The sequence below is a fragment of the Homo sapiens genome, chromosome 8 (genome assembly GCF_000001405.40).
Source record: "Homo sapiens chromosome 8, GRCh38.p14 Primary Assembly".
Taxonomy (NCBI): domain Eukaryota; kingdom Metazoa; phylum Chordata; class Mammalia; order Primates; family Hominidae; genus Homo; species Homo sapiens.
This window is the reverse complement of record NC_000008.11, coordinates 43939280-43964393: the sequence shown is the minus strand read 5'-3', so window position 1 is coordinate 43964393 and position 25114 is coordinate 43939280. Positions and strand designations below refer to the sequence as shown.

The following is a 25114-nucleotide window of genomic DNA, read 5'->3' as shown; positions in this document are numbered from 1 at the left end:
GAGCCACATATCCACTTGCAGATTTTACCAAAAGAGTGTTTCAAAACTGCTCTATCAAAAGACAGGTTCAACACTGTGAGTTGAATGCACACATCACAAAAAAGTTTCTGAGAATCCTCCTTTCTGCTTTTTATGTGAACATATACCCGTTTCTAAAGAAGGCCTCAAAGCGGTCCAAATATCCACTTGCAGATTCCACAAAAAGGGCGTTTCAAAACTGCTCTATCAAAGGAACGTTCAAGTCTGTGAGGTGAATGGAAACTTCACAAAGTAGTTTCTGAGAATGCTTCTCTCTAGTTTTTATGTGAAGATATTTCCTTTTCTATCATAGGCCTCAAAGCAATCTAAATATACACTTGCAAATTCTACAAAAAGAGTGTTTCAAAACTGCTCTATCAAAAGAAAGGTTAAACCCTGTGAGTTGAACACACACATCACAAAGTAGCTTCTGAGAATAATTCTGTCTAGTTTTTATATGAAGATATTTCCTTTTGTACCATAGGCTTCAAAACGCTCTAAATATCCACTTGGAAATTCTACCAAAAGAGTGTTTCAAAACTGCTCTATCGAATCAAGTTTCATCTCTGTGAGTTGAATGTGCACTTCACAAAGAAGTTTCTGATAATTCTTCTGTCTAGTTTTTATATGAAGAAATCCCATTTCCAACGAAGGCCTCAAAGAGGTCCAAATATCCACTTGCAGATTCTACAAACAGACTGTTGCATAACTGCTCTATAAAAAGGAATGTTTAACACAGTGAGTTGAATGCAAACATCACAAAGTATTTTCTGAGAAGGCTTCTGTGTAGTTTTTCTCTGAAGATATTTCTTTTTCTACAATAGGCTTCAAAGCGCTCTAAATATCCACTTGGAAATTCTAAAAAAGAGTGTTTAAAAACTGCTCTATCAAAAGGAAGGCTCAACTCTGTGAGTTGAATGCACACATCAGAAAAAGTTTCTGAGATTTCTCCTGTCTAGTTTTTAAGTGAAGAAATTCCCATTTCCAACGAAGGCCTCAAAGAGGTCCAAATATCCACTTGCAGATTCTACAAACAGACTGTTGCATAACTGCTCTATAAAAAGGAATGTTTAACACAGTGAGTTGAATGCAAACATCACAAAGAAGTTTCTGAGAATACTTCCGTGTAGTTTTTCTATGATGATATATCCTTTTATACCATAGGCCTCAAAGCGCTCCAATTATCCAATTGCAAAATCTACAAAAGCAGTTTTTCAAAACTGCTCTATCAAAAGGAAGTTTCAAATCTGTGATTTGAGTGCAGACATCACAAAGAAGTTTCTGAAAATACTTCTCTCTACTTTTTATGTGAAGGTACTCCCATTTCCAAAGAAGGCCTTAAAGCACTCCAAATATCCACTTGCAGACTTTACAAAGTGTTTCAAAACTGCTCTATCAAAAGGAAGGTTCAACTCCGAGAGTTGAATGCACTCATCACAAAGAAGTTTATGAGAATGTTTCTTTCTAGTTTTTATGTGAAGGTATTTCCTTTTCCAACTTAGGCTTCAAAGGGAACAAAATATCCACTTGCAGATTCCACACAAAGAGTGTTTCAAAACTCCTCTATCAAAAGGATGGTTCAGCCTTGCGTGTTGAATACAAACATCACAAAATAGTTTCTGAGAATGCTTCTGGCCATTTTTTTATGAAAATACTTCGTATTCTACCAAAGGACTCCAAGCGCTCTAAATATCCACCTGCAAATTCCACAAAAAGAATGTTGCAATACTGCTTTATCAAAAGAAAGGTTAAATGCCGTGTGTTGAACGCACACATCACAAAGTAGTTTCTGAGAATGATTCTGTCTAGTTTTTATATGAAGTTATTTTTTTTTCTAACTCAGGCTTCAAAGCGCTGTTAATATCCACTCGGAAATGCTACAAAAAGAGTGTTTCAATACTGCTCTATCGAAAGGAAATTTCAAATCTGTGAGTTGAATGCACACATCACAAAGAAGTTTCTGAGAATTCTTCTGTATAGTTTTTATATGAAGAAATCCCATTTCCAACGAAGTCCCCAAAAAGGTCCAAATATCCACTTGCAGATTCTACAAAAAGAGTGTTACAAAACTGCCCTATCGAAAGGAATCTTCAACTCTTTGAGTTGAATGCAAACATCACAAAGTAGTTTCTGAGAATGCTTCTGTGTAGTTTTTCTATGAAGATATTTCCTTTTCTACCATAGGCCTCAAAGCGCTCTAACTATGCACTTGGAAATTCTACAAAAATAGTGGTTCAAAACTGCTCTATCAAAAGGAAGTTTCAGCACTGTGAGTTGAGTGCAAACATCACAAAGTAGTTTCTCAGAATACTTCTGTCTACTTTTTACGTGAAGATATTCTCATTTACAAAGAAGACCTCAAATTGCTCCAAATATCCACTTGCAGCCATTACAAAGAGAGTGTTTCAAAAAATGCTCTATCAAAAGGAAGGTTCAACTCTGTGAGTTGAATGCTAACATCACAAATTACTTTCTGAGAATGTTTCTGTGTAGTTATTCTATGAAGATATTTCCTTTTCTACAATAGGCATCAAAGCCCTCTAAATATTCACTTGCAAATTCTACAAAAAGAGTGTTTCAAAACTGCTCTATCAAAAGGAAGGTTCAAATCTGTGAGTTGAATGCACACATCACAAAGTAGTTTCTGAAAATGATAATGTCTAATTTTTATATGAAGATATTTCCTTTTCTACCATAGGACTCAAACCACTCTGAATATCCACTTGGAAATTCTACAGAAAGAGTGTTTCAGAACTGCTCTATCGAAAGTCAGGTTCAACTCTGTGAATTGAATGCACACATCACAAAGAAGTTTCTGAGAATTCTTCTGTCTAGTTTTTATACGTAGAAATTCCCGTTTCCAACGAAGGCCTCAGAGAGGTCAAAATATCCACTTGCAGATTCTACAAAGAAAGTGTTACAAAACTGCTCTATCAAAAGGAATGTTCAACTCTGTGAGTTGAATGCAAACATCAAAGTAGTTTCTGAGAATGCTTCTGTGTAGTTTTTGAATGAAGATATTATCTTTTCCAACATAGGCTCCAAAACGCTCTAAATATTCACTTTCAAATCCTACAAAAATAGTGTTTCAAAACTGCTCTATCAAAAGGAAGTTTCAAATCTCTGAGTGGAGTGCAGAGATCACAAAGAAGTTTCTGAGAATACTTCTGTCTACTTTTTATGTGAAGATATTACCTTTTCCAAAGAAGGCCTCAAAGTGCATCAAATATTCACTTGCAGACTTTACAAACAGAGTGCTTCAAAACTATTCTATCGAAAGAAATGTTAAACTCTGTGAGTTGAACCCACACATCACAAAGGAGTTTCTGAGAATGATTCTGTCTGGTTTTTTTGTTTGTTTGTTTTTTATTTTTTTTTATTATACTTTAAGTTTTAGGGTACATGTGCACATTGTGCAGGTTAGTTACATATGTATACATGTGCCATGCTGGTGCGCTGCACCCACTAACTCGTCATCTAGCATTAGGTATATCTCCCAATGCTATCCCTCCCCCCTCCCCCCACCCCACCACAGTCCCCAGAGTGTGATATTCCCCTTCCTGTGTCCATGTGATCTCATTGTTCAATTCCCAACTATGAGTGAGAATATGCGGTGTTTGGTTTTTTGTTCTTGTGATAGATTACTGAGAATGATGATTTCCAGTTTCATCCATGTCCCTACAGCGACATGAACTCATCCTTTTTTATGGATGCATAGTATTCCACGGTGTATACGAGCCACATTTTCTTAATCCAGTCTATCATTGTTGGACATTTGGGTTGGTTCCAAGTCTTTGCTATTGTGAATAATGCCACAATAGCAGCATGATTTATAGTCATTTGGGTATATACCCAGTAATGGGATGGCTGGGTCAAATGGTACTTCCAGTTCTAGATCCCTGAGGAGTCACCACACTGACTTCCACAGTGGTTGAACTAGTTTACATTCCCACCAACAGTGTAAAAGTGTTCCTATTTCTCCACATCCTCTCCAGCACCTGTTGTTTCCTGACTTTTTAATGATCATCATTCTAACTGGTGTGAGATGGTATATCATTGTAGTTTTGATTTGCATTTCTCTGATGGCCAGTGATGATGAGCATTTTTTCATGTGTTTTTTGGCTGCATAAATGTCTTCTTTTGAGAACTGTCTGTTCATGTCCTTCACCCACTTTTTGATGGGGTTGTTTGTTTTTTTCCTGTAAATTTGTTTGAGTTCATTGTAGATTCTGGATATTAGCCCTTTGTCACATGAGTAGGTTGTGAAAATTTTCTCCCATTTTTTAGGTTGCCTGTTCACTCTGATGGTAGTTTCTTTTGCTGTGCAGAAGTTCTTTAGTTTAATTAGATCCCATTTGTCAATTTTGGCTTTTGTTGCCATTGCTTTAGGTGTTTTAGACATGAAGTCCTTGCCCATGCCTACGTCCTGAATGGTATTGCCTAGGTTTTCTTCTAGGTTTTTTATAGTTTTAGGTCTAACATTTAAGTCTTGAATCCATGTTGAATTGATTTTTGTATAAGGTGTAAGGAAGGGATCCAGTTTCAGCTTTCTACATATGGCTAGCCAGTTTTCCCAGCACCATTTATTAAATAGGGAATCCTTTCCCCATTGCTTGTTTTTCTCAGGTTTGTCAAAGATCAGATAGTTGTACATATGTGGCGTTATTTCTGAGGGCTCTGTTCTGTTCCATTGATCTATATCTCTGTTTTGGTACCAGTACCATGCTGTTTTGGTTACTGTAGCCTTGTAGTATAGTTTGAAGTCAGGTAGTGCGATGCCTCCAGCTTTGTTCTTTTGGCTTAGGATTGACTTGGCGATGCGGGCTCTTTTTTGGTTCCATATTAACTTTAAAGTAGTTTTTTCCAGTTCTGTGAAGAAAGTCATTGGTAGCTTGATGGGGATGGCATTGAATCTGTAAATTACCTTGGACAGTATGGCCATTTTCACGATATTGATTCTTCCTACCCATGAGCATGGAATGTTCTTTCATTTGTTTGTATCCTCTTTTATTTCGTTGAGCAGTGGTTTGTAGTTCTCCTTGAAGAGGTCCTTCACATCCCTTGTAAGTTGGATTCCTAGGTATTTTATTCTCTTTGAAGCAATTGTGAATGGGAGTTCACTCATGATTTGGCTCTCTGTTTGTCTATTGTTGGTGTATAAGAATGCTTGTGATTTTTGTACATTGATTTTGTATCCTGACACTTTGCTGAAGTTGCTTATCAGCTTCAGGAGATTTTGGGCTGAGACAATGGGGTTTTCTAGATATACAATCGTGTCGTCTGCAAACAGGGACAATTTGACTTCCTCTTTTCCTAATTGAATACCCTTTATGTCCTTCTCCTGCAGAATTGCCCTGGCCAGAACTTCCAACACTATGTTGAATAGGAGTGGTGAGAGAGGGCATCCCTGTCTTGTGCCAGTTTTCAAAGGGAATGCTTCCTGTTTTTGCCCATTCAGTATGATATTGGCTGTGGGTTTGTCATAGATAGCTCTTATTATTTTGAAATACGTCCCATCAATACCTAATTTATTGAGACTTTTTAGCATGAAGTGTTGTTGAATTTTGCCAAAGGCTTTTTCTGCATCTATTGAGATAATCCTGTGGTTTTTGTCTTTGGCTCTGTTTATATGATGGATTACATTTATTGATTTGTGTATATTGAACCAGCCTTTCTGTCTAGTTTTTATATGAAAATATTTCCTTTTCTACCATAGACTTCAAAGCGCTCTAAATATCCACTTGGAAATTCTACAAAAAGAGTGTTTAAAAACTGCTCTATTGAAAGGAAGGTTCATCCTTGTGAGTTGAATGCACACTTCACAAAGAAGTTTCTGAGAATTCTTTGGTCTAGTTTTTATATGAAGAAATCCCGTTTCCAACGAAGGACTCAAAGAGGTCCAAATATCCACTTGCAGATTCTGCAAAAAGAGTGTTACAAAACTGCTCTATGAAAAAGGAATGTTCAACTCCGTGAGTTGAATGCAAACATCCCAAAGTAGTTTCTGAGAATGCTTCTGTGTAATTTTTCTATGAAGATATTTCCTTTTCCACCGTAGGCATAAAAGCGCTCTAAATATCCACTTGAAAATTCTACAAAAAGAGTGTTTCACATCTGCTCTATCAAAAGATATGTATAACTCCTTGAGTTGAATACAAACATCCCAAAATAGTTTCTGAGAATGTTTCTGTGTAATTTTTCTATGAAGATATTCCGTTTTCTAACATAGGCCTCAAAGCGCTCTAATTATCCTCTTGCAAATTCTACACAAAGAGTGTTTCAAATCCTCTCTATCAAAAGGACCGTTGAACTCTGTGGGTTGAGTGCAGACATCACAAGAAGTTTCTGAGAATACCTCTGTCTACTTTTTAGGTGAAGATATTACCGTTTCCAAAGAAGACCTCAAAGCCAACCAAATATCCACTTGCAGACTTATAAACAGAGTGTTTCAAATCTGCTCTATCAAAAGGAATCTTCAACTCTGTGAGTTGAATGCACTCATCTCCAAGAAGTATACGAGAATGTTTCTTTCTAATTTTTATGTGAAGATAATTCCTTTTCCAACAAAGGCCTCAAAGGGAATAAAGTATCCACTTGCAGATTCTACAAAAATAGTGTTTCAAGACTGCTCTTTCAAAAGAAAATTTCACCTCTGTGAGTTGAATGCACACATCCCAAAGAAGGTTCTGAGAATGCTTCTGTCTGGTATTTATGTGAAGATAAACCGGTTTCCAATGAAGGCCTCAACGCGGTCTAAATATCCACTTGCAGATTCAACAACAACAACAAAAAAGTGATTCAAAACTTCTCTATGAAAGGAACGTTCAACTCTATGAGTTGAATGCAAACCTCACAAATTAGTTTCTGAGAACGATTCTGTGTAGTTTTTCTATGAAGGTATTTCCTTTTCTACCATAGGCCTCAAAGCGCTCTAAATATCCAGCTGGGAATTCGATAAAAAGCGTGTTTCAAAACTGCTCTATCGAAACGAAGGTTCAACTCTGTGAGTTGAATGCACACATCACAAAGAAGTTTCTGAGAATGCTTCTGTCTTGTTTTTATTTGAAGACATTTCCTTTTGTACCATAGGCCTCTAACTGCTCTAAATATCCACTTGGAAATTCTACAAGAAGAGTGTTTCAAAACTGCTCTATTGAAAGGAAGGTTCAACTCTGTGAATTGAATGCACACATCACAAAGAAGTTTCTGAGAATTCTTCTGTCTAGTTTTTATATGAAGAAATTCCCGTTTCCAATGAAGGCCTCAGAGATGTCCCAATATCCACTTGCAGATTCTACAAAAAGTGTTTCACAACTGCTCTATCAAAAGGAATGTTCAACTCTGTGAGTTAAATGCCAATATCACAAAGTAGTTTCTGAGAATCCTTCTGTGTAGTTTTTCTAAGAAGATATTTCCTTTCCTACCTTACGCCTCAAAACGATCTAAATATCCACTTGAAAATTCTACAAAGAGTGTTTCAAAACTGCGCCATCAAAAGAAAAGTTAAAATCTGTGAGTTGAATGCAAACATCACAAAGCATTTTCTCAGAATGCTTCTGTGTGGTTTTTGGGTGAAGGTAATTCCTTTTCTACCATAGGCCCCAAAACGCTCTAAATATCCACTTGCAAATTCTACAAAAAGAGTGTTTCAGAAGGTTGAACACTGTGCGTTGAGTGCAGACATCACAAGGTAGTTTCTGAAAATTCTTCTGTCTAGTTTTTAATTGAAGCAATTCCCGTTTCCAACGAAGGCCTCAAAGAGTTCCAAATATCCACTTGCATATTCTACAAAAACAGTGTTTCAAAACTGCTCTATCAAAAGACGCATTCAACTCTGTGAGTCGAATGCAAATTTCACAAAGTAGTTTCTGAGAATGCTTCTGTGTAGTTGTTTTTCTATGAAGATATTACCTTTGCTACCATAGGCCTCAAAGCGCTCTGATTGTCCACTTGCAAATTCAACAGAAAGAGTGTTTCAAAAGTGCTCTATCAAAAGGAAGTTGCAATTCTGTTAGATGAGTGCAGACATCACAAAGTAGTTTCTGAGAATACTTCTGTCTACTTTTTATGTGAGGATATTCCCGTTTCCAAAGAAGGCCTCAAAGCGCTCCAAATATCCACATGGAGATTCTACAAAAGAGTGATTGAAAACTGCTCTATCAAAAGGAAGGTTCGACTCCTTGATTTGAATGCACTCATCACAAAGAAGTTTATGAGAATGTTTCTTTCTAGTTTTTATGTGAAGATAATTCCTTTCCCAACATAGGCATCAAAGGCAATCAAACATCCACTTGCAAATTCTACAAAAAAGTGCTTCAAACTGCTCTATAAAGAGGAATGTTCAACTCTATGAGTTGAATGCAAACATCACAAAATACTTTGTGAGAATGCTTCTGTGTAGTTTTCTATGAAGATATTTCCTTTTCTACCATAGGCTTCAAAGCGCACCAAACATCCACTTGGAAATTCTACAAGAGTGTTTCAAAACTGCTCTATGAAAAGGAAGGTTCACAACTGTGAGTTTAATGCACACATTACAAAAAGTTTCTGAGATTTCTTCTGCCTAGTTTTTAAGTGAAGAAATTCCCGTTTCCAAAGAATGCCTCAAGGAGGTCCAAATATCCACTTACTGATTCAACAAAAAGGGTGTTTCAAAACTGCTTTATCAGGAGGAATGTTCAATTCTGTGAGTTGAATGCAAACATCACAAAGCAGTTTCTGAGAATGCTTCCATGTTGTTTTTCTATGACGATATTTCCTTTTCTACAATAGACTTCAAAAAGCTCTAAATATCCACTTGGAAATTCTACAAAAAGTGTGTTTCAAAACTGCTCCATCAAAAGAAAGGTTAAACTCTGTGTGTTGAACGCACACATCACAAAGTAGTTTAGGAGAATGCTTCTGTCTAGTTTTTATGTGAAGATATATCCTTTTGTAAAATAGGCCTCAAAACCCTCTAAATACACACTTGCAAATTCTACAAAAAGAGTGTTTCAAAACTGTTCCTTCAAAAGAAAGTTAAAATCTGTGAGTTTAATGCACACATCACAAACAAGTTTCTGAGAATCATTGTGTCTACTATTTATATGAAGATATTTCCTTTTCTACCATAGGCCTCAAACCCCTTAAATATCCACTTGGAAATTCTACAAAAAGACTGTTTCAAAACTGCTCTATTGAAAGGAAGGTTCAACTCTGTGAGTGGAATGCACACATCACAAAGAAGTTTCTGAGAATTCTTCTGTCTAGTTTTTATATGAAGAAATCCCGTTTCTGAAGAAGGCCTCAAAGAGGCCCAAATATCCACTTGCAGATCCTACAAAAAGAGTGTTACAAAACGGGTCTATCAAAAGGAATGTTCAACTCTGTGAATTGAATGCAAACATCACAAAGCAGTTTCTGAGAATGCTTCAGTGTAGCTTTTCTATGACGGTATTTCCTTCTCTACCATAGGGTTCAAAGTGCTCTAAATATCCAGTTAGAAATTTCCTTTTCCAACATAAGCCTCAAAGGGAGGCACATATCCACTTGCAGATTCTACAAAAAGAGTGTTTCAAACTGCTCTATCAACAGAAAAGTTCAATTCTGTATGCTGAATGCACACATCACAAAGAAGTTTCTGGGAATCCTTCTGTCTGGTTTTTATGTGAAGATATACCCATTTCCAATGAAGGCCTCAAAGCGGTCCAAATGTCCACTTGCAGATTCCACAAAAAGGGTGTTTCAAAACAGCTCTATCAAATGATTGTTCAACTCCGTGAGTTGAATGCAAACATCACAAATGTAGTTTCTGAGAATGCTTCTGTCTAGTTTTTTGGGAAGATATTTCCGTTTCTACTATAGGCCCCAAAGATCTCTAAATATACACTTGCAAATTCTACAAAAAGAGCGTTTCAAAACTGCTCTATCAAAAGGAAGGTTAAACTCTGTGAGTTCAATGCACACATCTCAAAGTAGTTTCTGAGAAAGTTTCTGTCTAGTTTTTATATGAAGATATTTGCTTTTCTACCATAGGCCTCAAAGCCCTCTAAATTCAAACTTGCAAATTCTACAAAAAGAGTGTTTCATAACTGCTCTATCAAAAGAAATGTTCAAATCTGTGAGTTGAACGCACACATCACAAAGTTGTTTCTGAGAATGGTTCTGTCTAGTTTTTAAATGAAGTTTTTTCCTTTTCTACCAGAAGCATCAAAGCACTATAAATATCCACTTGGAAGTACTTCAAAAAGAGTGTTTCAATACTGCTCTATCGAAAATAATATTCAACTCTGTGAGTTGAATACAGTCATCACAAAGAAATTTCTGAGAATTCTACTGTCTAGTATTTGCATGAAGAAATCCCATTTCCAATGAAGGCCTCAAAGAGGTCCAAATATCCACTTGCAGATACTACAAAAAGAGTGTTTGAAAACTGCTCTATCAAGAGGAATGTTCAATTCTGTGAGTTGAATGCAAACATCACAAAGTAGTTTATGAGAATGCTTCTGTCTAGTTTTTATGTGAAGATATTTTCTTTTCTACCATAGGCCTCAAAGCACTCTAAATGTACACTTGCAAATTCTGAAAAAAGAGTGTTTCAAAACTGCTCCTTCAAAACAAAGGTTAAAATCTGTGAGTTGAATGCACACATCACAATCTAGTTTCTAAGAATCATTGTGTCTAGTTTTTATATGAGGACTCAAAGCACACTAAATATCCACTTGGAAGTTCTACAAAAAGAGGATTTCAAAACTGCTCTATCGAAAGGAAGGTTAAATTCTGTGAGTTGAATGCACATATCACAAAGAAGTTTCTGATAATTTTTCTGTCTAGTTTTTACATGAAGAAATCCCGTTTCCAACGAAGGCCTCAAAGAGGTCCAAATATCCACTTACATATTCTACAAAAAGAGTGTAACAAAACTGCTCTATCAAAAGGAATGTCCAACAATGTGAGTTGAATGCAAGCATCACAAAGTAGTTTCTGAGAATGCTTCTGTGTAGTTTTTCTATAAAGATGTGTCCTTCTCTACTATCGGCTTCAAAGCGCTGAAAATATCCCTTTGGAAACTCTACAACAAGAGTGTTTCAAAACTGCTCTATCAAAAAGGAAGGTTCAAATCTGTGAGTTGAGTGCAGACATCACAAGGAAGTTTCTGAGAATACTTCTGTCTACTTTTTATGTGAAGATATTCCCGTTTCCAAAGAAGGCCTAAAAAACCTCCAAATTTCCAATTTCAGACATTTTAAAGAGTGTTTCAAAACTGTTCTGTCAAAAGGAAGGTTCAACTCTGTGAGTTGAATGCACTCATCACAAATAAGTTTATAAGAATGTTTCTTTCTAGTTTTTATGTGAAGATAATTCGTTTTCCAACATGGGCCCCAAAGGGAATGAATTATCCACTTGAAGATTCTACAAAAAGAGTGTTTAAAAACTGCTCTGTCAAAAGAAAAGTTCACTTCTGTGCGTTGAATGCACACATAGCAAAGAAGTTTCTGAGAATTCTTCTCTCTGGTTTTTATGTGAAGATAATCCTGTTTCCTACAAAGGCCTCAAAGTTGTCCAAATATCCACTTGCTGATTCCACAAAAAGAGTTTTTCAAAACTGCTCTATCAAAAGGAATGTTCATCTCCGTGAGTTGAATGCAAACATCACAAAGAAGTTTCTGAGAATGCTTCCTTCAAGTTTTTATATGAAGGTATTTTCTTTTCTACATTGGGCCTCAAAGCACTCCAAATATCCACTTGAGGATTCTACAAAAAGAGTGTTTCAAAACTGCTCTATCAAAAGAAAGATTCAACTCTGTGAGTTCAACGCACACATGACAAAGAAATTTCTGAGAATGCTTCTGTCTGGTTTTTCTATGAAGATAATTCCTTTACTAACATAGGCCACAAAGCGCTCCAATTATCCACTGGCAAATACTTCAAAAAGAGTGTTTCATAACTGCTCTATCAAATGAAAGGTTCAACTCTGTGAGTTGAATGAGCACATCACAAAATAGTTTCTGATAATGATTCTGACTACTTTTTATATGAAGATATTTCCTTTTCTACCATAAGCCTCCAAGTGCTCTAAATATCCACCTGGAAATTCTAGAAAAAGTCTGTTTCAAATCTGCTCCATCAAAAGAAAGTTTCAAGTCTGTGAGTTGAATGGACACATCACAAAGTTTTTGAGAAATCTTCTGTCTAGTTGTTATATGAAGAAATCCCTTTTCCAAAGAAGGACTCAAAGACGTCCAAATATCCACTTGCAGAGTCTACAAAAACAGTGTTTCAAAACACATCTATCAAGAGGAATGTTCAACACTGTGAGTTGAATGCAAACATCGCAAAGTAGTTTTTGAGAATGCTTCTGTGTAGTTTGTTATGAAGATATTTCCTTTTCTATCACAGGCTTCAAAGCGCTCTAAATATCCACTTGGAAATTCTACAAAAAAAGTTTTGCAAAAGTGCTCCATCAAAAGAAAGATTAAATTCTGTGAGTTCAACGCACACATCATAATGTGGTTTCTGAGAATGCTTCTGTCTAGTTTTTATGTGAAGATATTTCCTTTTCTACCATAGGCCTCCAAGCACTCTAAATACACACTTGCAAATTCTACAAAAAGAGTGTTTTGTAACTGCTCTATCAAAAGAAAAGCTAAACTCTGTGAATTGAATGTACACATCACAAATCGTTTCTGAGAAAACTTCTGTCTAGTTTTTATATGAAGACATTTCCTTTTCTAACATAGCCTCCAAGTGCTCTAAATATCCACTTGGAAATTCTACAAAAAGAGTGTTTCCAAACTGCTCTATCGAAAGGAAGGTTCACCTCTGTGAATTGAATGCACTCATCACAAAGAAGTTTCTGTGTATTCTTCTGTCTAGTTTTCATATGAAGAAATTACTGTTTCCAAGGAAGGCTTCAGAGAGGTCCAAATATCCACTTACAGATTCTACAAAAAGAGTGTTACAAATCCACTCTATCAAAAGGAATGTTCAACTCTGTGAGTTGAATGCAAACATCACAAAGTAGCTTCTGAGAATGCTTCTGTGTAGTTTTTCTATGAAGATATTTCCTTTTCTATCATAGGCTTCAAAGCGCTCTAAATATCCACTTGAAAATTCTACTAAATGAGTGTTTCAAAACTGCGTCATCAAAAGAAAGGATAAACTCTGTGAGTGCAACACACACATCACAAAGTAGTTTCTGAGAATGATTTTGTCTAGTTTTTATGTAAAGATATTTCCTTTTCTACCATGGGCCCAGAATCCCTCTATATACACACTTGCTAATTCTAAAAAAAAAAAGAGTGTTTCATAACTGCTCTATCAAAAGAAAGGTTAAACTATGAAAGTTGAATGCACACATCACAATGTAGTTTCTGACAATGGTTCTGTCTAGTTTTTATATGAAGATATTTCCTTTTGTACCTTACGGCTCCAAGCGCTCCGAATATCCAGTTGGAAATTTTACAAAAAGAGTGTTTGAAAACTGCTCTATCAAAATGAAAGTTCAACTCTGTGAGTTGAATGCACACAACACAAAGACGTTTCTGAGAATTCTTCTGTCCAGTATTTAAATGAAGAAATCCCGTTTCAAACGAAGACCTCAAAGAGGTCAAAATAACCAGTTGCAGATCCTACAAAAAGAGTGTTTCAGAACTGCTCTATCAAGAGGAATGTTCAACTCTGTTAATTGAATGCAAAACTCACAAAGTAGTTTCTGAGAATTCTTCTGTCTAGTTTTTATGTGAAGATATTTCCTTTCCTACCATAGGCCTCAAAACACTCTAAATATACACTTGCAAATTCTACAAAAAGAGTGTTTCAAAACTTCCCCATCAAAAGAAATGTTAAACTGGGTGAGTTGAACGCACACATCACAAACTAGTTTCTGAGCATGATTCTGTCTAGTCTTTATGTGAAGATATTTCCTTTTCTACCATAGGCCTCCAAGCGCTCTAAAAATCCAATTGGAAATTCTACAAAAAGAGTGTTTCAAAACTTGTGTATCAAAAGGAACGTTCAACTCTGTGAGTTGAATGCTCACATCACAAAGAAGTTTCTGAGAATTCTTCTGTCTCATATTTAAATGAAGAAATCCGGTTTCCAACGAAGGTCTCAAAGAGTTCCAAATATCCACTTGCAGATACTACAAAAAGAGTGTTTCAAAACGGCTCTATCAAGGGGAATGTTCAACTCTCTTAGTTGAATGCAAACACCACAACGCAGTTTCTGAGGGTGCTTCTGTCTAGTTTTTATGTGAAGAAATTTCCTTTTCTACTATAGGCCTCAAAGCGCTCTAAATATACACTTGCAAATTCTACAAAAAGAGTGTTTCAAAACTGCACCATGAAAAGAAATGTTAAACTCTGAGAGTTGAACTCACACATCACAAAGTACTTTCTGAGAATGATTCTGTCAAGTTTTTATATGAAGATATTTCCTTTTAGACCAAAGGCCTCAAAGTGCACAAGATATCCACTTGGAAATTCTACAAAAAGATTGTTTCAAAACTGCTCTATCGAAAGGATGGTTAAACTCTGTGAGTTGAATGCACACATCACAAAGAATTTTCTGAAAATTCTTCTGTCAAGTATTTAAATGAGGAGATCTCGCTTCCAATGAAGGCCTGAAAGAGGTCCAAGTATCCACTTGCGGATTCTACAAAAAGAGTGTTTCAACACTGCTCTATCAAGAGCAATGTTCAACTCTGTGAGTTGAATGCAATCATTACAAAGTAGTTTCTGAGAATGCTTCTGTCTACTTTTTACGTGAAGATATTTCCTTTTCTACCATATGCCTCAAAGTGCTCTAAATATACACTTGCAAATTCTACAAAAAGTGTGTCTTAAAACTGCTCCATCAAAAGAAAGGTTAAACTCTGTGAGTTGAAAGCACACATCACAAAGTAGTTTCTGAATATGGTTCTGTCTAGTTTTCATATGAAGATATTTCCTTTTGTACCATAGGCCTCAAAGCCCTCTAAATACTCACTTTCAAATTCCACAAAAAAGATTGTTTCAAAACTGCTCTATCAAAAGAAGTGTTAAACTCTGTGAATTGAATGCAAATATCACAAAGCAGTTTCTGAGAATGATTCTGTCTAGTGGTTATATGAAGATATTTCCTTTTCTACAATAGGCCGCAAATAGCTCTAAATATCCACTTGGAAATTCTACAAAAAGAGTGTTTCAAAACTGGTTATCGAAAGGAAGGTTCAACATTGTGAACTGAATGCACACATCACAAAGAAGTTTCTGAGAATCCTTCTGTCTAGTTTTCATAGGAAGAAATCCCGTTTCCAATGAAGGTCTCAAAGAGTTCCAAATATCCACTTGCAGATTCTATGAAAAGGGTGTTACAAAATTGCTCTATCAAAAAGAATGTTCAATTCTGTGAGTTGAATGCAAACATCACAAAGTAGTTTCTGAGAATGCTTCTGTGTACTTTTTCTATGAAGATATTTCCTTCTATACCATAGGCTTCAAAGCGCTCTAAATATCCAGTTGGAAATTCTACAAAAACAGTGTTTCAGAACTGCTCCATCAAAAGGAAGGTTCAATTCTGAGTTGAGTGTACACATCACAAAAAATTTCTGAGATTTCTTCTCTCTAGTTTTTAAGTGAAGAATTTTTCGTTTCCAACGAAGGCCTCATAGAGGTCCAAATATCCACTTGCAGATCCTACAAAAAGAGTGTTTCAAAACTGCTCTATCAAAAGGAATGTTCAAGTCTTTGAGTTGAATGCAAACATCACAAAGCAGTTTCTGAGAATGCTTCTGTGTAGTTTTTCTATGAATATATTTCCTTTTCTACCATAGGCCACAAAACACTCTAAATATCTACTTGCAAATTCTACAAAAAGACTATTTCAAAACTGCTCTATCAGAGGGAAGGTTTATCTCTGTGAGTTGAGTGCAGACATTACAAAGAAGTTTCAGAGAATACTTATGTCTACTTTATATGTGAAGATATTCCCGTTTCCAATAAAGACCTCAAAGACCTCCAATTATCCACTTGCAAACTTTACATACAGAGCATTTCAAAACGGCTGTCAAAAGAAAGATTCAACTCTGTGAGTTGAATTCACTCATCACAAAGAAGTTTATGAGAACGATTCATTCTAGTTTTTATGTGAAGTTAACTCCTTTCCCAACATGGGCCTCAAAGGGAATAAAATATCCACTTGAAGATCCTACAAAAAGAGTGTTTGTAAACTGCTATATCAAAAGAAATATTCACCTCTGTGAGTTGAATACACATATCACAAAGAAGTTTCTGAGAATGCTTCTCTCTGGATTTTATGTGAAGATAATCCCGTTTCCAACGAAGGCCTCAAATCGGTCGAAATATCCACTTGCAGATTCCACAAAAAGACTGTTTCAAAACTTCTCTATACAAAGGAATGTTCAACTCTGTTAGCTGAATGGAAACATCACAAAATAGTTTCTTAGAATGCTTCTGTCTACTTTTTTTATTAAAATACTTCCTATTCGACACAAAGCTCTCTAAATATTCATTTGCAAATTCTACAAAAAGAGTGTTTCAAAACTGCTCTATCCAAAGGAAGTTTCAACTCTGTGAGTTGAATGCAGACCTCACAAAGAAGTTTCTGAGAATACTTCTGTCTACTTTCTATGTGAAGTTATACCCGTTTCAAAAGTAGGCCTCAAAGCACTCCAAAGATCCACTTGCAGATTCTACAAAAAGATTGTTTCAAAAATGCTCTATCAAAAGGAAGGTTCAACTCTGTTAGTTGAAGGCACACATCAAAAATAAGTTTCTGAGAATGATTCTTTCTTGTTTTTATATGAAGATATTTCCTTTTCCAACATAAGCCTCAAAGGGAGGCACATATCCACTTGGAGATTCTACAAAAAGAGTGTTTCAAAACTGCTCTATCAACAGAAAAGTTTAACTCTGTAAGTTGAATGCACACATCACAAAGCAGTTTCTGGGAATCCTTCTGTCTGATTTTTATTTGAAGATATACCCATTTCCAATGAAGTCCTCAAAGCGGTCCAAATGTCCACTTGCAGATTACACAAAAAGGGTGTTTCAAAACTGCTCTATCAAATGATTGTTCAACCCGGTGAGTTGAATGCAAACATCACAAAGTGGTTTCTGAGAATGCTTCTGTCTAGTTTTTTGGGATGATATTTCCTTTTCTACCATAGACCCAAAGATCTCTAAATATGCACTTGCAAATTCTACAAAAAGTGTGTTTCAAAACTTCTCTATCAAAAGAAAGGTTAAACTCTGTGAGTTGAATGCAAACATCACAAAGTAGTTTAGGAGAATGCTTCTGTCTAGTTTTTATGTGAAGATATTTCCTTTTGTACCATAGGCCTCAAAGCCTTCTAAATCCACACTTGCAAACTTTGGAAAAGAGTGTTTCAAAACTGCTCCATCAAAAGAAAGGTTAAAATCTGTGAGTTGAACACACACATCACAAACTAGTTTCTGAGAATCATTGTGTCTAGTTTTTATATGAAGATATTTCCTTTTCTACCATAGGCCTCAAACCCCTTAAATATCCACTTAGAATTTCTACAAAAAGAGTGTTTCAAAACTGCTCTATTGAAAGGAAGTTTCAACTCTGTGATTTGAATGCACACATCACAAAGAAATTTCTAAGAATTCTTCTGTCTAGTTTTTATATGAAGGAATCCCATTTCCTACGAAGGCCTCAAAGAGGCCAAAATGTCCAATTGCAGATTCTACAAAAAGAGTGTTACAAAACTGGTCTATCAAAAGGAAAGTTCAACTCTGTGAGTTGAATGCAAACATCAAAAAGTAGTTTCTGAGAATGCTTCTGTGTAGCTTTTCTATGAAGATATTTCCTTCTCTACCATAGGCTTCAAAGTGCTCTAAATATCCAGTTGGGAATTCTACAAAAAGAGTGTTTTAAAACTGCTCTATCAAAAGGAAGGTTCAACTCTGTGAGCTGAATGCACACATCACAAATAGTTTCTGAGTTTCTTCTGTCTAGTTTTTTTTTTTTTTTTTTTTTGAGACGGATTCTCGCTCTGTCACCCAGGCCGGACTGCGGACTACAGTGGTGCAATCTCGGCTCACTGCAAGCTCCGCTTCCCGGGTTCACGCCATTCTCCTGCCTCAGCCTCCCGAGTAGCTGGGACTACAGGCGCCCGCCACCGCGCCCGGCTAATTTTTTGTATTTTTAGTAGAGACGGGGTTTCACCTTGTTAGCCAGGATGGTCTCGATCTCCTGACCTCATGATCCACCCGCCTCGGCCTCCCAAAGTGCTGGGATTACAGGCTTGAGCCACCGTTCCCGGCCCTGTCTAGTTTTTAAGTGAAGAATTTCCCGTATCCAACGAAGACCTCGTAGAGGTCCAAATATTCACTTGCAGATCCTACAAAAAGAATGTTTCAAAACTGCTCTATCAAAAGGAATATTCAACTCTGTGAGTTGAATGCAAACATCACAAAGCAGTTTCTGAGCATGCTTCCGTGTAGTTTTTCTATGAATATATTTCCTTTTCTACCATAGGCCCCAAAACGCTCTATATCTCCACTTGCAAACTCTACAAAAAGAGTGTTTCAAAACTGCTCTATCAAAGGGAAGGTTGATCTCTGTGAGTTGAGTGCAGACATCACAAAGAAGTTTCAGAGAATACTTATGTCTACTTTTTATGGGAAGATATTCCCCTTTCCAAAGAAGGCCTCAAAGCACTACAAATGTCCACTTGCAAACGTTACAAACAGAGCGTTTCAAAACTGCTGTGTCAAAAGAAAGGTTCAAGTCTGTGAGTTGAATTCACTTATCTATCTCAAAGAAGTTTATGAGAATGTATCATTCTAATTTTTATGTGAAGATAACTCCTTTTCCAACATGGGCCTCAAAGGGAATAAAATATCCACTTGAAGATTCTACAAAAAGAGTGTTAGAAAACTGCTATATCAAAAGAAATATTCACCTCTGTGAGTTGAATGCACACATCGCAAAGAAGTTTCTGAGAATGCTTCTCTCTGGTTTTTATGTGAAGATAATCCCGTTTCCAACCAAGGACTCAAAGCGGTCTAAATGTCCACTTGCAGATTCCACAAAAAGAGTGTTTCAAAACTTCTCTATCAAAAGGAATGTTCAACTCTGTTAGTTGAATGGAAACATCACAAAGTAGTTTCTTAGAATGCTTCTGTCTACTTTTTTATGAAAATACTTCCTATTCTACCATAGGACATGCAGCACTCTAAATATCCACTTGGAAATTCTACAAAATGAGTGTACAAAACTGCTCTATCCAAAGGCAGGTTCAGCTCAGTGAGTTGAATGCAGACATCACAAAGAAGTTTCTGAGAATACTTCTGTCTACTTTCTCTGTGAAAATATACCCGTTTCAAAAGTAGGCCTCAAAGCCCTCCAAAAATCCACTTGCAGATTCTACAAAAAGTGTGTTTCAAAAATGCTCTATCAAAAGGAAGGTTCAACTCTGTGAGTTGAAGTCACACATCAAAAAGTAGTTTCTGAGAATGATTCCTTCTACTTTCTATGTGAAGATATTTCCTTTTCCAAAATAAGCCTCAAAGGGAGGCACATATCCACTAGCAAATTCTACAGAAAGAGTGTTTCAAAACTGCCCTATCAAAAGAAAAGTTAAAATCTGTAAGTTGAATGCACACATCACTAAGAAGTTTCTGGGAATCCTTCTGTCTGATTTTTATGTGAAGATATGCCCGTTTTCAACGAAGGCCTCACAGCGGTCCAAATGTCCGCTTGCAGAATCTACAAAAAGGGTGATTCAAAACTGCTCTATCAAATGATTGTTCAGCTCTGTGAGTTGAATGCAAACATCACAAATTAGCTTCTGAGAATGCTTCACTCTACTTTTTATGTGAAGATATTTCACTTTCTGCCACAGGCTACAAAGCGCCCTAAATATACACTTGCAAATCATACAAGAAGAGTGTTTCAAAACTTCTCCATTCAAAAGAAAGGTTAAACTCTGTGAATTCAATGCACACATCACAAACTGGTTTCTGAGAATGCTCCTGTGTTGTTTTTCTATGAAGATAGTTCCTTTTCTAACATAGGCTTCAAAGGGCACTAAATATCCACTTGGAAATTCTACAAAAAAAGTGTTTCAAAACTGTTCTATTGAAAAGAAGGTTAAACTCTGTGATTTGAACGCACACATCACAGAGTAGTTTCTGAGAATTATTCTGTCTAGTGTTTATATGTAGATAATTTCTTATCTACCAAAGGCCTCAAACCACTCTAAATATCCACTTGGAAATTCCTCAAAAAGAGTGTTTCAAAACTGCTCTATTGGAAGGAAGATTCAACTCTGTGAATTGAATGCATAGAACACAAAGATGTTTCTGAGAATTCTTCTGTCTAGCTTTCATAAGAAGAAAGCCCGTTTCCAATGAAGGCCTCAAAGAGCTTCAAATATCCACTTGCAGATTCCACAAAAAGAGTGTTTCAAAACTGCTCCATCAAGAGGAATGTTCAACTCTGTGAGTTGAATGCAAACATCACACAGTAGTTTCTGAGAATGCTTCTGTTTAGTTTTTATGTGAAGATATTTCCTTTTCTACCATAGGCTTCAACGTGCTCCAAATATCCACTTCAAAATTCTACAAAAAGAGGGTTTCAAAATTTCTCCATGAAAAGAAAGGTTAAACTCTGTGAGTTGAACGCACACATCACAAAGTAGTTTCTGAGAATGATTCTGTCTGGTTTTTATATGAAGATATTTCGTTTTTAACCATAGACCTCAAAGCGCTCTAAATATCCACTTGGAAATTATGTAAAAAGAGTTTCAAAACTGCTCTATCGAAAGGAAGGTTCAACTCTGTGTACTGAATGCACACACCACAAAGAGGTTTCTGTGAATTCTTCTATCTCGTTTTTAAATGAAGAAATCCCGTTTCCAAGGAAGGCCTCAAATAGGTCAAAATATCCACTTGCATATCCTATAAAAAGAGTGTTTCAAAAGTGCTCTACCAAAAGGAATGTTCAACTCTGTGAGTTGAATGCAAACATCAACAAGTAGTTTCTGAGAATGCCTCTGTGTAGTTTTAATATGAAGATATTTCCTTTTCTAGCATAGGCCCCAAAACGCTCTATATATCCACTCGCAAATTCTACAAAAAGAGTGTTTCAAAACTGCACTATCAAAGGGAAGGTTCAACCCTGTTAGTTGAGTGAAGACATCACAAAGGAGTTTCTGAGAATACTTCTGTTTACTTTTATGTGAAGATATTCCCCTTTACAAAGAAGGCATTAAAGCATTCCAAATATCCACTTGCAGACTTTACAGAGTGTTTCAAAACTGCTTTAACAAAAGAAAGGTTAAACTCAGTGAGTTTAAAGCACACATCACAAACTAGTTTCTGAGAAAGGTTCTGTCTAATTTCTATGTGAAGACATTCCCTTTTTTACCATAGGCTTCAAGGCGCCCTAAATATTCACTTGAAAATACTTCAAAAATAGTGTTTCAAAACTGCTGTATTGAAAGGAAGTTTCAACTCTGTGAGTTGAATGCACACATCACAAAGAAGTTTCTGGGAATTCTTCTGTCTACTTTTTATAGGAAGAAATCCCGTTTCCAAAGAAGGCCTCTAAGAAGTCCTAATAACCACTTGCAGATTCTACAAAAAGAGTGTTACAAAACTGCTCTATCAAAAGGAATGTTCAACTCTGTGAGTTGAATGCAAACAACACAAAGTAGTATCTCAGAATGCTTCTGTGTAGTTTTTCTATGAAGATATTTCCTTTTCTACCACAGGCTTCAGAGCGCACTAAATATCCACTTGGAAATTCTACAAAAAGAGTGTTTCAAAACTGCTCTATCAAAAGAAAGATTCAACTCTGTGAGTTGAATGTCCATGTCACAGAAAGTTTCAGAGATTTCTTCTGTCTGTTTTTCAAGTGAAGAAATTCCCGTTTCCAACGAAGGCCTCAAAGAGTTCCAAATATCCACTTGCAGATTCTACAAAGGAGAGTTTCAAAACTGCTCCATCAAGAGGAATGTCCAACTCTGTCAGTTGAATGCAAACATCACACAGTAGTTTCTGAGAATGCTTCTGCCTCGTTGGTATGTGAAGATATTTCATTTTCTACCATAGGCCTCAAAGCGCTCTGAATATACACTTGCAAATTCTACAAAAGTGGTGTTTCAAAACTGCTCTATCAAAAGAAATGTTAAACTATGTGAGTTGAATGCACACATCACAAAGTAGTTTCTGAGAATGATTCTGTCTAGTTTTTATATGAAGATATTTCCTTTTCTACCATAGGTCTCAAACAGCTCTAAATATCCACTTGGAAATTCTACAAAAAGAGTGATTCAAAACTGCTCTATTGAAAGAAAAGTTCAACTCTGTGAATTGAATGCACACATCATAAACAAGTTTCTGAGAATTCTTCTGTCTAGTTTTTATATGAAGAAAGTCCCGTTTCCAACGAAGGCCTCAAAGAGGTCCAAATATCCACTTGTAGAGTCTACAAAAAGAGTGTTACAAAACTACTCTATCGAAAGTAATGTACAACTCTGTGAGTTTAATGCAAACATCACAAAGTAGTTTCTGAGAATGCCTCTGTGTATTTTTAATATGAAGATATTTCCTTTTCTACCATAGGCCAAAAAACGCTCTTAATATCCACTCGCAAACTCTACAAAATGAGTGTTTCAAAACTGCTCTATCAAAAGGAAGGTTAAACTCTGTTAGTTGAGTGCAGACAACACAAAGAAGTTTCTGAGAATACTTCTGTTTACTTTTTATGTGAAGATATTCCTGATTCCAAAGAAGGCTTTAAAGTGCTCCAAATATACACTTGCAGACTTTACAAACATAGTGTTTCAAAACTGCTCTACCAAAAGAAAGGTTAAATTCAGTGAATTGAAAGCACAAATCACAATCTAGTTTCTGAGAAAGTTTCTGTATAATTTTTATATGAAGATATTTCCTTTTCTACCATAGGCTTCAAGGCGATCTAAATATCCACTTGGAAATTCTGCAAAAAGAGTTTTTCAAAACTGCTCTATCGAAAGGAAGTTTCAACTCTGTGAGTTGAATGCACACATCAAAAAGAAGTTTCTGAGAGTCTTTCTGTCTAGTTTTTATATGAAGAAATCCAGTTTCCAACGAAGGTCTCAAAGAGGTCTAAATATCCACTTGCAGATTCTAGAAAAAAAATGTTTCAAAACTGCTACACCAAGGGGAATGTTCAACACAGTGCATTGAATGCAAACATCCCAATGTAGTTTCTGAGAATGTTTCTAATTTTTATGTGAAGATATTTCGTTTTCTAAAATAGGCGTCTAAGTGCTGTCAATATACAATTGCAAATTCTACAAAAGCGGTGTTTCAAAACTGCTCTATCAAAAGAAATGTTAAACTCTGTGAGTTGAACGCAGAGATCACAAAGTAGTTTCTGAGAATGATTCTGTCTAGTTGTTATATGAAGATATATCCTTTTCTACCATAGGCCTTAAACCACTCTAAATATCCAGTTGAAAATACAATAAAAAGAGTGTTTCAAAACTGCTCTATCGAAAGGAAGGTTCAACTCTGTGAATTGAACATACACATCACGAAGAAGTTTCTGAGAATTTTTCTGTCTACTTTTTAAGTGAAGAAATTCCCGTTTCCAACGAAGGCCACAAAGAGGTCAAAATATCCACTTGCAGATACTACAAAAAGAGTGTTTCAAAACTGCCCCATCCAAAGAAAGGTTAAACTCTTTGAGTTGAACGCACACATCATGAAGTAGTTTCTGAGAATGATTCTGTGTAGTTTCCATATGAAGATATTTCCTTTTCTAGGTTAGGCCTTAAACCACTCTAAATATTCACTTGGAAATTCTACAAAAAGAGTGTTTCAAAACTACTCTATTGAAAGCAAAATTCAACTCTGTGAAATAAATGCACACATCACAAAGAAGTTTCTGAGAAATCTTCTTTCTAATTTTCAAATGAAGAAATCCTGTTTCCAACGAAGGTCACAAAGAGGTCAAATATCCACTAGCAGAGCCTACAAAAAGACTGTTTCAAAACTGCTCTCTCAAGAGGAATGTTCAACTCTGTGAGTTGAATGCAAGCATCACAATGTGGTCTCTGAGAATGCTTCTGTCTAGTTTTTATGTGAAGAGATATCCTTTTCTACCACAGGTCTTAAAGAGCAATAAATATACACTTGCAAATTCTACAAAAAAAGTGTTTCAAATCAGACCCATCAAAAGAAAGTTAAGCTCTGTGAGTTGCACGCACACATCACAAAATTGTTTCTGAGAATGATTATCTCTATTTTTTATATGAAGACATTTCATTTTCTAACATAGGCCTCAAAGCGCACTAAATATCCACTTGGAAATTCTAGAAAAAGAGTGTTTAAAAACTTCTATATAGAAAGGAATGTTCAACTCTTTGAGTAGAATGCACACATCACAAAGAAGTTTCGGAGAATTCTTCTGTTTATCTTTCATATGAAGGAATACCGTTTACAATGAAGGCATCAAAGACGTCCAAATATCCACTTGCAGATTCTACAAAAACAGTTTTTCAAAACTACTGTATCAAAAGAATGGTTCAACTCTCTTAGTTGAGTACACACATCACAAACGTGATTCTCAGAATGCTTCTGTCTAGTTTCTATGGGTAATTTCCTTTTTCAGCATAGGCCTGAAAGCGCTCCAATTGCCCGCTTCCAGACACTATAAAAAGAGGGTTTCAAACCTACTCTATGAAAGGGAATGTTCAACTCTGAGAGCTGGATGCAAACATCACAAAGAAGTTTCTGAGAATACTGCTGTCTACTTTTTATATGTAATCCCGTTTCCAACGAAATCCTCAAATCTATCCATATATCCACTTGCAGATTCCAAAAGAAGAGTGTCTCAAAACTGCTCTATCAATAGAAAGGTTCAGCACAGTTAGTTGAGTAGATACAGCATAAACAAGTTTCTGAGATTGCTTCTATCTCGCATTCATGGGAAGATATTTTCTTTTTCCAGATAGGCTACAAAGCCCTCCAAATATCCACTTCGAGATACTACAAATGGAGTGCTTCACAACTGCTCTATGTGAGGGAATGTTCAATTCTGTGACTTGAATGCAGACACCACAAAGAAGTTTCTGAATGCTGCTGTCTACTTT

At 36.1% G+C, this 25114-nt stretch overlaps 6 annotated features.

Moving 5' to 3' along the window:
- Positions 15505-16006: an enhancer, noted in NCBI's record as "OCT4 hESC enhancer chr8:43803531-43804032 (GRCh37/hg19 assembly coordinates)". NCBI's record gives its function as "activates a minimal SCP1, AML or CMV promoter by ChIP-STARR-seq in primed H9 embryonic stem cells {active_cell/tissue: H9 hESC(primed)}" and the evidence as "EXISTENCE:reporter gene assay evidence [ECO:0000049][PMID:30033119]".
- Positions 17168-17690: an enhancer, noted in NCBI's record as "OCT4-NANOG hESC enhancer chr8:43801847-43802369 (GRCh37/hg19 assembly coordinates)". NCBI's record gives its function as "activates a minimal SCP1, AML or CMV promoter by ChIP-STARR-seq in naive and primed H9 embryonic stem cells {active_cell/tissue: H9 hESC(naive and primed)}" and the evidence as "EXISTENCE:reporter gene assay evidence [ECO:0000049][PMID:30033119]".
- Positions 20179-20847: an enhancer, noted in NCBI's record as "OCT4-NANOG hESC enhancer chr8:43798690-43799358 (GRCh37/hg19 assembly coordinates)". NCBI's record gives its function as "activates a minimal SCP1, AML or CMV promoter by ChIP-STARR-seq in primed H9 embryonic stem cells {active_cell/tissue: H9 hESC(primed)}" and the evidence as "EXISTENCE:reporter gene assay evidence [ECO:0000049][PMID:30033119]".
- Positions 21196-21859: an enhancer, noted in NCBI's record as "OCT4-NANOG hESC enhancer chr8:43797678-43798341 (GRCh37/hg19 assembly coordinates)". NCBI's record gives its function as "activates a minimal SCP1, AML or CMV promoter by ChIP-STARR-seq in primed H9 embryonic stem cells {active_cell/tissue: H9 hESC(primed)}" and the evidence as "EXISTENCE:reporter gene assay evidence [ECO:0000049][PMID:30033119]".
- Positions 21860-22524: an enhancer, noted in NCBI's record as "OCT4-NANOG hESC enhancer chr8:43797013-43797677 (GRCh37/hg19 assembly coordinates)". NCBI's record gives its function as "activates a minimal SCP1, AML or CMV promoter by ChIP-STARR-seq in primed H9 embryonic stem cells {active_cell/tissue: H9 hESC(primed)}" and the evidence as "EXISTENCE:reporter gene assay evidence [ECO:0000049][PMID:30033119]".
- Positions 24483-25109: an enhancer, noted in NCBI's record as "OCT4-NANOG hESC enhancer chr8:43794428-43795054 (GRCh37/hg19 assembly coordinates)". NCBI's record gives its function as "activates a minimal SCP1, AML or CMV promoter by ChIP-STARR-seq in naive and primed H9 embryonic stem cells {active_cell/tissue: H9 hESC(naive and primed)}" and the evidence as "EXISTENCE:reporter gene assay evidence [ECO:0000049][PMID:30033119]".